General features: G+C 47.4%; 1 pseudogene; it reads right to left on the minus strand.

Annotated features, from left to right (window-relative positions):
* RPL39P8 (ribosomal protein L39 pseudogene 8) lies at window positions 7,872-8,254 on the minus strand (annotated as a pseudogene).

A 12,092-nucleotide genomic window follows, 5' to 3' on the forward strand; every position in this document is an offset into this window, starting at 1 on the left:
GCCCCAGGAGTCTCCAGATTATGAAACATGCGGGGGACAAGAGCAGGACTCTGCAGTGTGCAGGAGACCCCTAGCTGGGGACGGGGAAGACAAAAAAAGATCCACTGGAGCCACGGTCTCTCACAAGGTCTTGGTTGGTTTCTCTGTCCCTGTCCAGACTTCCCCTGCAGGACCTTCCCCCCAGCAGCCTGGCCTTAGCTCTGAACTCGCTGTCCTTCCCAGGAGCTTCCATTCCTGGGCCCAGCCAAACAACCATGAGATAAACATGAGAGAAAAACATCCTTCTGGGACCTGATTGTTTCAGGGAGTAGTGGGGCCTGCAGGGAGCCGGAGATTCGGGGAACAAGGCTTAATGACCATGTAACCATTAAGAAGAAAGCATTGGCCGGGCACCGTGGCTCACGCCTGTAATCCCAGCACTTTGGGAGGCTGAGGCAGGCGGATCATGAGGTCAGGAGATTGATTAGACCAGAACCATGAAGACCATCCTTGCTAACACGGTGAAACCCTGCCTCTACTAAAAAAATACAAAAAATTAGCCAGGCGTGGTGGCAGGCGCCTGTAGTCCCAGCTAGGTGGGAGCTGAGGCAGGAGAACGGCGTGAACCCAGGAGGCGGAGCTTGCAGTGAGCCAAGATCTCGCCACTGCACTTCAGCCTGGGTGACACAGCGAGACTCTGTCTCAAAAAAAAAAAAAAGGAAGAAGAAAGCATTGCTATCAGGCCTGGGTTGGTCAAAATTTTGGTACAGCTGCCTAGTAGCCATGTGACCTTAATGAGCAAAAATTACTTAACTTCAGTTTCATCATCCACAAAATGGGGACAATAATTACCTAGCAGAAGTATGAAGATTTAGAAATTAGGAAGGTAAAGCACCTGATCAACAGTAAACACTGTTATTATATTCTTTATTAATACACAGACCCCTCCCCACCCAGGATGGCTCCGGGCCTCTCACCTTTCTAAAAAGCAGGCATCTTTTCTGGGCTCCAAGAAAAGTAGTCCTCCAGCCTGGCCAAAACAGTGAAACCCTGTCTCTACTAAAAATACAAAAATTACCCGGGCATGGTGGCACGCACATGTAGTCCCAGCCACTCAAGAGGCTGAGGCAGGAGAATCGCTTGAACCCGGGAGGTGGAGGTTGCAGTGAGCCGAGATCGTGACACTGTACTCCAGCCTGAGCGACAGAGTGAGACTCTGTCAAGAAAGAGGCTGGGCGCCGTGGCTCAAGCCTGTAATTCCAGCACTCTGGCAGGCCGAGGCGGGCGGATTGCGAGGTGAGGAGATCGAGAGCATCCTGGCTAACACGGTGAAACCCTGTCTACTAAAAAATACAAAAAATTAGCCAGGCGTGGTGGCGGGCGCCTGTAGTCCCAGCTACTCGGGAGGCTGAGGCAGGAGAATGGCGTGAACCCGGGAGGCAGAGCTTGCAGTGAGCCGAGATCATGACACTGTACTCCAGCCTGAGCGACAGAGCGAGACTCTGTCTCAAAAAAAAAAAAAAAAAGAAAAGAAAAAGAAAAGCGGGCCAGGCGTCGTCGCTCATGCCTGTAATCCCAGCACTTTGGGAGGCCAAGGCGGGCGGATCATGAGGTCAGGAGTTCAAGACCAGCCTGACCAACATGGTGAAACCCCATCTCTACTAAAAATACAAAAAAAAAAAAAAAATTGCAGGGCGTGGTGGCACACGTCTGTACTCCCAGCTACTCAGGAGGCTGAGGCAGGAGAATCGCTTGAATCCGGGAGGCAGAGGTTGCAGTAAGCCGAGATTGTGCCACTGCACTCCAGCCTGAGCAACAGAGCAAGACTCCATATCAAAAAAAAAAAAAGAAAAAGAAAGAAAGAAAAGCAGTCCTGGCCGGGCGTGGTGGCTCACACCTGTAATCCCAGCACTTTAGGAGGCCGAAGCAGGCGGATCATGAGGTCAGGAGATCGAGACCATCCTGGCCAACATGGTGAAACCCCGTCTCTACTAAAATACAAAAAATTAGCCAGGCGTGGTGGTGCACGCCTGTAGTCCCAGCTACTTGGGAGGCTGAGGCAGTAGAATCATTTGAACCCAGGAGGCGGACGTTGCAGTGAGCCGAGATCACGCCACTGTACTCCAGCCTGGTGACAGAGCAAGACTCTGTCTCAAAAAAAAAAAAAAAAGGAAAAGAAAAGCAGTCCTATAATTTGCCTGCACTAGCGTGATAATGAAATGGTAAAAAGTTAATGTCACCCAGGCAGTAATGGATCAATTTCTCCCTGTTAACAGGAGACCTCTGGGAAGATACCTTGATTCCAAAGAGTGAATTTATTGGATGGCAGGCAGTGAGTCCTGTGGGTGATGAGCCAGGTGGGTCTCTCCTTTACTCCTGGATCTTACAGCAGTAGAAACACAGAACTTTTCGACTTTCTGAGCAGAAAGAGGCTGAGTTGGCTGCCTGTTTCAGTAGGAGCCCAGAGGCTTTGTCTAAGGCCCTGGTGATGTCCCTTTCCTATCATGGGTTTAAGAAGTCAGGAGCTGGCCGGGCATGGTGGCTCACGCCTGCAATCCCAGCACTTTGGGAGGCTGAGGTGGGTGGGTGGATCACCTGAGGTCAGGAGTTTGAGACCAGCCTGGCCAATATGGTGAAACCTTGTCTCTACTAAAAATACAAAAATTAGCTGGGCGTGGTGGCGTGTGCTTTTAATCCCAGCTACTCAGGAGACTAAGGCAGGAGAATTGCTTGAACCTGGAGGTGGAGGTTGCAGTGAGCCGAAATCGCACCACTGCACTCCAGCCTGGGTGACAGAGCAAGACTCCATCTCAAAAAAAAAGAAGTCAGGAGTCAAGTTCCTCCAGCACTGGCAGAGGGGAGAAGGCATGAACACGGGCTTAGGGTCTGTAAGATTTTCCCTTCTTCCCAGCTCACCCTCAGCCTCCCATCTCTGCTTCAGAACCTCTCAATCAACCAGGTAACTCCCTTAGGTGAGGCTGGGAGAAGCCTCATTCATGGCACACAATAGGTGCTTACTATTCCACATAACAGGTGGATTGAGTTGAATGCAGGCCATAAAGGTGTTGGGAGGGAAGAGGCTTTCAGTGAACTTAGTCCAGGAACAGGGAGACTGTGGGTGGGCAGCGCCCCAGTATCAAGTGCCAGGAGCCGATGAAGGCCCTGCCCTATTGGGTGAGCCCACTGCCGAAACCTGGCAGCCACTCAGGTTCCTCCCTGCCCCCACCCCCACACCCGACCTGCTCAGCCTCCTCCTAAACTACCTGGAATTGGCTCTGCCTATTTCCAGTCCTTCTCTAGGGCATTATTATTTCCAGCCCAGAAGGCTGAATTATAAATGAAATTCTTGTCTGCAGTCCTGCCCTCTTACAAACTGTTGCACAAACCCCATCAAAGTGATATTTCTGAAACCAAAATGATGATCCTTCTCCCTGCTTAAATACCTTCTATGGGCCAGGCATGGTGGCTCACGCCTATAATGCCAGCACTTTGGGAGGCCAAGGTGGGCAGATCACTTAATGTCAGGAGTTCCAGACCAGCCTGGCCAACATTGTGAAACTCCATCTCTACTAAAAATACAAAAATGTTTAGTATTTTTAGGTGTGGTGGCACATGCCTGTAGTCCCAGCTACGTGGGAGGCTGAGGCAGGAGAATAGCTTGAACCCGGGAGGCAGAGGTTGCAGTGAGCCGAGATGGCACCATTGCACGCCAGCCTGGGTGACAGAGAGAGACTGTGTCTCAACAAACAAACAAACAAAAAAACCTTCTATGGCTCCCTATTGCCTACACACTAAAGCTCAAATTTTTTCTTTTGTTAAAAAAGACCACTATGGGCTGGGCGTGGTGGCTCACACCTGTAATCCCAGCACTTTGGTAGGTTGCAGTGAGCCAAGAGCCCTTTTTTTTTTTTTTAAGAAGGAGTCTCACTCTGTCACCCAGGCTGGAATGCAGTGGCATGATCTTGGCTCATTGCAACCTCCACCTCCTGGGTTCAAGCGATTCTCCTGCCTCAGCCTCCCGAGTAGATGGCACTACGGGCACCCGCCACCATGCTCAGCCAATTTTTGTATTTTCAGTAGAGACGAGGTTTCACCATGTTGGCCAGGCTGGTCTCGAAATCCTGACCTTGTGATCCACCCGCCTCGGCCTCCCAAAGTGCTGGGATTACAAGCATGAGCCACCGAGCTTGGCCTAAATCAAATTCTTTAAAATGACACACAATGCCCCCTGAGACCTCTGACCCCTGTCCCTGCTTTCCTCTCCAGCTGCATCTCTTACCCACCACCCTCACCATCTCTCTATGCACTGGTCAGACCAAACTGTCTACTCCTGGCCTGGCAAATGCCATGCTCCCTCCATCATTCAGGGCTTTGTGTATGTGTATGCCCCCTCAAGGTGGAATGAGCATTGGTACACATACCCCTTGTTTCCCTCTGCTTAATTTGGTCAATTTCTATTTGTCCTTCAAGCATCATACTATACTTCCCTTCTACCGGAAAGCCTCCATCCACTGACCTCTCCACCTTTGCCATCCAAGATTGGGCCTGGGTGCCCACCCACCCCAGGCTCCCACAGCTCCCTATGCTCTCCTGGCTTTTATGAAGAAGTTTTTTTTTTTCATTCACCAATTTACTTTATGCTCCCTCTTGAGTCTATATATTTCTACAGGATAGGAACCCATCTTGTTTGCCGTGATCTCTCCTAGGGCCTAGCACAGTGCAGCCATATAGCAGGCATGTAGCAATAATGGCTATAATATCAACCATAGCCCACATTTATTCAGCAGGCACTATCATGTGGTGGGAAGCATTCAGGATGCTGTCAGTCATAGTGTGCTTAGTACTCATGTGGCTGCATAGCACCCAGGATCCATTCCCACCAATCTCCTGTCCTTTGGAGGCAGATAGGTGAAAACCGCGTTTCCCAGCCTGACTTCTTTGAAAGCAATGGGTACATACGGGGATCCAACATTTAGGCCCTCACATGAGATTTGGAAGGTGGAAGAGGCAGAGTCCGCCTTCCTGCTGCTTTGGCTGGTTCTTTCTGGCAAGCAGGGCCATACAGATGCACGCTTTTTCCTGCAGCAGCATCCAGTGTCCAGTTACCACCTGCGGGGAATACGGGGACAGTTGGTGGCAACAGCTGTGGAGGCCCCATCTGCTCCCTGGACCACAGCCATGCCAGTGTAACCCAGAACTCTGCAGTGCCAATGGAAATCTCCAGGTGCCATACCTTGCTTCCTGCTCAGGTAGAGGTGGCAGACCCTCTGGACTCAGCCTTACTTCCTCTCCTCTCCCCATCCAGACACTCCAAGCACCCTGTAATCACCCAACCTTTGTCTCAAATCACTTTCTGCTCAAAGTACCTCCAGTGGTTCCTATGTCCTGCACTGAACTCTGCTGACTCATACAATTTTTTTTTTTTTTTTTTTTTTTGATACAGAGTCTTACTCTGTCACCCAGGCTGGAGTGCAGTGGCACAATCTCGGTTCACTGCAGCCTCCGCCTCCTGGGTTCAAGTGATTCTCCTGCCTCAGCCTACTGAGTAGCTGGGACTACAGGCACACACCACCATGCCCGGCTAATTTTTGTATTTTTAGTAGAGACGGGGTTTCACCATGTTGGCCAGGATGGGCTCAATCTCCTGACCTTGTGATCCGCCCACCTCGGCCTCCCAAAGTGCTGGGATTACAGGCATGAGCCACCGCGCCTGGCCAGACTCATACAATTATTATCCTTATTTTACAGAGGAAGAAACTAAGGCCCAGAGGAGTTAAGTAATCTTCCCAGAGCCTCACAGCCAGTCAGTGGTAGAACCAGGCTTTGAACCCAGGGCTTTCTGACCCCAGCACCCACCATACTTGCTGCCTCTGAGAATATGTGTTGCTGCGTGCCCGATGTGGGAGGAGGCACAGAGAGCCTTCTGGCAGGGGGCTGGGCTGACTCCCATGCAAGCAGGTCCTGAGGCAGGGTCCCAAGGTGTCTGCCCCTTCCTGAGCAGCACAAACTGCTCAGCTTCCTGGGGAAGGTTCCAGAAGCTAAGCTGCCCTAGATGGGATAAGGGGCAGGGAGGCTGCCTAGGAGAGCCAGGCTGTCTAGTCACAATGTCAAGCTTGTGGAAGAAATATTCCTTTTGTGGTTCATATCCTTCTTGTTGCTCTAATCACTGGGAGACCATCTGGTACATCGTTGATGGCTGCAAACGTGCATTTAAGAGCTTGAGAGAATACAGCACAACAGGGAGGCCACCATAATGACTGTCAGGACAATATACCAAAAGTTTGGAGTGTTTCTTAGTCAAGGTCCCCATGAACCAAACCAATGAAAATAAACAAAAGAAAACAAAAAGTTAATGGCTAGAACAAACTATTAACTCAGTCTCTGAGTCTACAGGGCAGTAAAGAAGATTTCTGTATGTTGGTCTGTTCCATGATAAGCAGGTCTATACAATCCTACCCACAAATACCGAGAGAGCTGACAGGCTGGCCAGTTGCAGTGGCTCACACCTGTAATTCCAGCCCTTTGAGAGGCCGAGGCAGAAGGATCACTTGAACCCAGGAGTTTGAGACCAGCCTGGGCAACATAGCAAGACCCCCATCCCTATTTTTAAAAAGAAAGAGAGCTCAGAGGCTGAAAAAAGAGGGTGACAAATCCAGTTTCTTAGAAATAAACATTTAATAGGAATTCACAAACAGAAGTCATGACTTGGGCAGCCACAAGATGGTGGATCCCTGCACTGTCAATATTACTCTCCAGACCCAGGGCTTATACACCATAGGGAAAGGGCATATGTGCTTCAGGAGGAATGTGTGGGACAATTGAAGTTGATTCCTTAGGGAAAGGCAAGCACACTATGTGCATCATAGCCTATAAATTGCCTGAGGGCAGGATTTATGTTAAGTGCATGCTAACATTACACAAAGTAGAAATCTCAATGACATTCCCATAACTGGGGTTAATCAGAAGTCAAAGTGGCAAATTAGCATCCAAGATGGAGCTGCTTTAACCTCCACATGTTCTCAAAGCATTTTCATTTGGAAAGGGGTCAGGCACTGGCAGTCTGACAGATTTTCCTGGTTCGCAGTTTGCACCAGGTGTTCCAGTGAACTTTCTGAGTAGTTCATACAGCAACAGGCATGAAGGTTGTTCATATAGAAGCTGTTATGATAATTTCTCTGAAGCCTGTATCAAGTCTTCCAGCTTTGACTTGCAGAGCTCTTAAGACTAGAAATCTTTTTTTTTTTTCTGAGACAGATTCTCATTCTCTTACCCAGGCTGGAGTACAGTGGCACAATCTCGGCTCACTGCAACCTCCACCTCCTGGGTTCAAGTGATTCTCCTGCCTCAGCCACCTGAGTAGCTGGGATTACAGGTGTGCGCCATCACACCCGGCTAATTTTTGTGTTTTTAGGACAGACGGGGTTTCGCCTCAGGTGATCCACCCACCTTGGCCTCCCAAAGTGCTAGGATTACAGGCATGAGCCACTGCGCCCGGCTGACTAGAAACCTTTTTAAGCCAGGCCAGTTTTGTTCCAACGGGTGCTTTATTGGCTCCGTAATGCCAGCCTTAGTTCCTTAAAGCTGCCTAGTTGTATCTCAAAATATAACATTCCAGTTAAAGCCTTGGTTAATTTAACCAGTGTTTCCATTATGTTTGCTACAGGAAAACAGGTTCTTACTGAACTTATGCAAACAATTATATTGCCATAAACATAAGGATACTCACTAATAGTTTCATAATTCTGGAGGGATCAGGTAGGGAAAAAAAGTAAATGTTATAATTTTTGTTCACAAAAGTATACTTTACCAAATTTCTATAAGCTACAGATAGCTTAAGAAAAAAGAAAAAAAAATCTTAAAGAAAACAAATTTATTTTATTTTATTTATTTATTTGAAATGAAAGGCCTCATATTTATTACTGAACCCAGTCAACCAACACGTTCATAACAGATTCAGAGAGGAAAACATTTCGAACTGTCTAGATAGTGGTGACATTTTCAGCTTGATATGGTAACGTGATTGTGACCTTCAGACAGCATCAATATGTGTGCCGTCTTATATGCAATTCCTTATAGATCCAGCTTGGTTCTTCTCCAATGTCTCCTTTTGGAGTTGTACCTGAGTTTATTACCAGTTTTCATCTGAATCCACTGGGGAATGGGACAATTTTGCTTTTGTTTCTTGGCCAGGAATGGCTTAATCCTGAAGGTCTTGTGAGAAGACATGGCGAGAAGTGGAGTCAAGCACACACCATGACGGCGGAGAAAGGAAGAGAGTATTCTATTTTATTCACTTATTTTTTTTTTTTTTTGAGACAGAGTCTTGCTCTGTCACCCAGGCTGGAGTGCATTAGCATAATCTCGGCTCACTGCAACCTCCACCTCCCGGGTTCAAGTGATTCTCCTACCACAGCCTCCCAAGTAGCTGGGATTACAGGCGCCCACCACCATGCTCAGCTAATTGTTGTATCTTTAGTAGAGACGGGGTTTCACCATGTTCGTCAGGCTGGTCTCAGAAGTCCTGACCTCAGGTGATACACCCCCCCTCTGCCTCCCAAAGTACTGGGATTACAGGCACGAGTTACCGCGCCCGGCCTGGAAAACAAATATTAAAGAACCAGAAATGTTTTAAACAAAAAGGCACAAACATTATCCTTGTCAGTTTATTCAGTCTATGTAATTAATTCTTGTCCTGCCTAGTATTGGGTTAGCAGTTTCATGAACCCATCAATTTCCTTAGAATTGATCCATGAATCTCCTTGAAGATGAAACATTTTAGGATTATAATTGTTTGCAAAAGCTTTCAGGAAAGTGTCAGAGTAAAATAGTTAACTGTCTGAGGATAACAAGACTTAAAATGGCCATCATTAAAAATCTGATATGAGTTTATTATAATACAATTGACATAGAAAATTCATTATTGGCTGGGCATGGTGGCTCATGCCTGTAATCCCAGCACTTTGGGAGGCCAAGGTGGCAGATCACCTGACGTCGGTAATTCAAGACTAGCCTGATTAACATGGAGAAACCCCGTCTCTACTAAAAATACAAAATTAGCCGGGCGTGGTGGCGGGCGCCTGTAATCTCAGCTACTCAGGAGGCCGAGGCAAGAGAATCACTTGAAACTGGGAGGTGGAGGTTGTGGTGAGCCGAGATCACACCATTGCACTCCAGCCTGGGCAACAAGAGTGAAATGCTGTCTCAAAAAAAAAGAAAAGAAAAGAAAAAGAAATTTCATTATTTATGTGACATGCAACATTTTAACATAATAATCAAAATTATGACTGATACTATTATACCAGGACATGTTAGATTTTTAGAAATTTCATATAATTTCTGGAATACTCATATCAATTACAAATATAAGGTTTTAGCAGCACTTATCATTTGACAATTCTCCTCATATAATTTAACATCTAAAATAAGCCTAATCAGTTTAATATCTCTCTTTTTATACAAATTATTTTGATACATTCAAGAAACCTGTCTGGAAAATCCCAAAGTTAAAGTGAAGAAAAAAACAATTTAGCCAGGCACAGTGGCTCATGCCTGTAATCCCAGAACTTTGGGAGGCCTAGGCTGGCTGATTGCTTGAGCTCAGAAGTTCAAGACCAGCCTGGCCAACATGGAGAAACTCCATTCTGTACTAAAAATACAAAAATTAGCTGGGCATGGTGCTGTGTGCCTGTAATCCCAGCTACTCGGAAGGCTGAGGCAGGAGAATCACTTGAACCCAGGAGACTGAGGTTACAGTGAGCTGAGATCATGGCACTGCACTCCAACCTGGGCAACAGAGTGAGAAGCCATATCAAAAACAAAAGAAAAAAACAATTTAGAATTTGATTTTGGGAAGTTTGTTGAAAATATCAAAGGTTGAAAACACTTGATTTAGGCCAGGCACGGTGGTTCACACCTGTAATCCTAGTACTTTGGGAGGCCAAGGTGGGCGAACTGCCTGAGCTCAGCAGTTCGAGACCAGACTGGGCAACATGGTGAAACCCCATCTTTACTAAAATACAAAAAATTAGCCAAGCATGTTGGTGTGCACCTGTAGTCCCAGCTGAGGTGGGAGAATCGCTAGAACCTGGGAGGCAGAGGTTGCAATGAGCCAAGATCATGCCACTGCACTCCAGCCTGGGCAACAGCGAGGTTCTGTCTCCAAAAACAAAACAAAACAACACTTGATTTAACAGGATCACAGATAATTATGAAGAAATGCCAAAGTGACTAAACATTTCAAAGGCAAGTACAGAAAATTAGTTTTAAAAAAATTAGCAGTTTTAATATTGAGAAGACTAAGTTCTTAAATAATCAAAAGACCTAACACAGGCTGGGCACGGTAGCTCACGACTGTAACCCCAGCACTTTGGGAGGCCAAGGTGGGCAGATCACCTGAGGTCCAGAGTTCAAGATCAGCCTGACCAACATGGAGAAACCCCATCTCTACTACAAATAGAAAATTAGTCAGGCAAGGTGGCACATGCCTGTAATCCCAGCTACTCAGGCAGCTGAGGCAGGAGAATTGCTTGAACCTGGGAGGCAGAGGTTGCAGTGAGCCGAGATTGCACCATTGCACTCCATCCTGGGCAAGAAGAGTGAAACTCCATCTCCAATTAAAAAAAAAAAAAAAAAAAAAAAGACCTAATACAAGACAACATGAAGCACATGAAATTTTCTTGATAAAACACAGAAGCTTTTTTTTCCCCCTCACACAGATCACTTCGAAGATAATCCCTTTCAGTCTCTTATCTACTCCAAGGAAACCCTATTGTTTTAAAAGAAGAGGCCAAATGTGTCTGGGTGTGGTGGTACTGTAATCTTAGCACTTTGGAAGACCCTGGCTGGCAGATTGCCAGAGCTCAGGGGTTCGAGACCAGCCAGCCAAACTTGGCGAAACCTCGTCTCTACAAAAAATACAAAAATTAGGCAGGCATTTTAATGGCCTGATGGGTTCACCTTGCCGGTTGCTTAGATATAGCTAATTTATCAAAACAGGGGAATTGCAATAGAGAAAGGGTAATTCATGCAGAGGCAGCTGTGCTAGAGACTGGAGTTTTATTATTATTCAAATCAGCCTCCTGGAGCATTTGGTGATCAGAGTTTTTGAGGATAATTTGGTGGGTGGGGGAAGGCCAGTGAGTTGAGAGTGTTGATTGGTTGAGTCACAGCTGAAATCATGGGAAGTTGAAGCTATCCTCTTGTGCTAAGAGTCATTTTCTGGGTGGGGGCTGCAAGATCAGTTGAGCCAGTTTATCTACTCCGTGGTGCCAGTTTATCAGTCAAGTGCAGGGTCTGCAAAATATCTCAAGCACTGATCTTAGGAGCAGTTTAGGGAGGGTCAGAATCTTGTAGCCTCCAGCTGCAAGACTCCTAAGCCATAATTTCTAATCTTGTGGCTAACTTGTTAGTCCTACAAGGGCGGTCTAGTCCCAGGCAAGAAAGAGGTTTGTTTTGAGAAAGGGCTGTTTTGTTTTAAACTGTAAACTATATGTTTCTTCCAAAGTTAGTTTAGCCTATGCCCATGAAGGAACAACAACAGCTTAAAGATTGGAAGCAAGATGTAGTCGGTTAGTTAGATCTCTTTCACCGTCTCAGTCGTAATCTTGCAAAGGGCAGTTTTAGCATGGTGGCATGTGCCTGTAGTCTCAGCTACTTTGGGGGCTGAGGTGGGAGGATCACATGAGCCCAGAAGTCCAGACTGCAATGAGCCGTGTTCACACCACTGCACTCCAGCCTGGGTGACAGAGTGAGACGGTCTCAAAAAAAAGATCAAATTCTAGTTTTGCATCAGTGTAACTTTGACATTAAGATTCATTTTTAAAAACTCCCGAGAGGTGACAGCATGCTGGCAGTCCTTGCTGGCTCTTGGCGCCTCCTCAGCCTCAGCGCCCACTCTGGCCACGCTTGAGGAGCCCTTCAGCCCGCTGCCGCACCGTGGGAGCCCCTCTCTGAGCTGGCCGAGGCTGGAGCCGGCTCCCTCTGCTTGCGGGGAGGTGTGGAGGGAGAGGCACGGGCAGGAACCGGGGCTGCGTGTGGCGCTCGCGGGCCAGCGCGAGTTCTTCGTGGGTGTGGGCTCGGCAGGCCCTGCACTCAGACTGGCCCGCCGGCCCCGG

This window comes from Homo sapiens, chromosome 1, assembly GCF_000001405.40.
Source record: "Homo sapiens chromosome 1, GRCh38.p14 Primary Assembly".
NCBI lineage: Eukaryota > Metazoa > Chordata > Mammalia > Primates > Hominidae > Homo > Homo sapiens.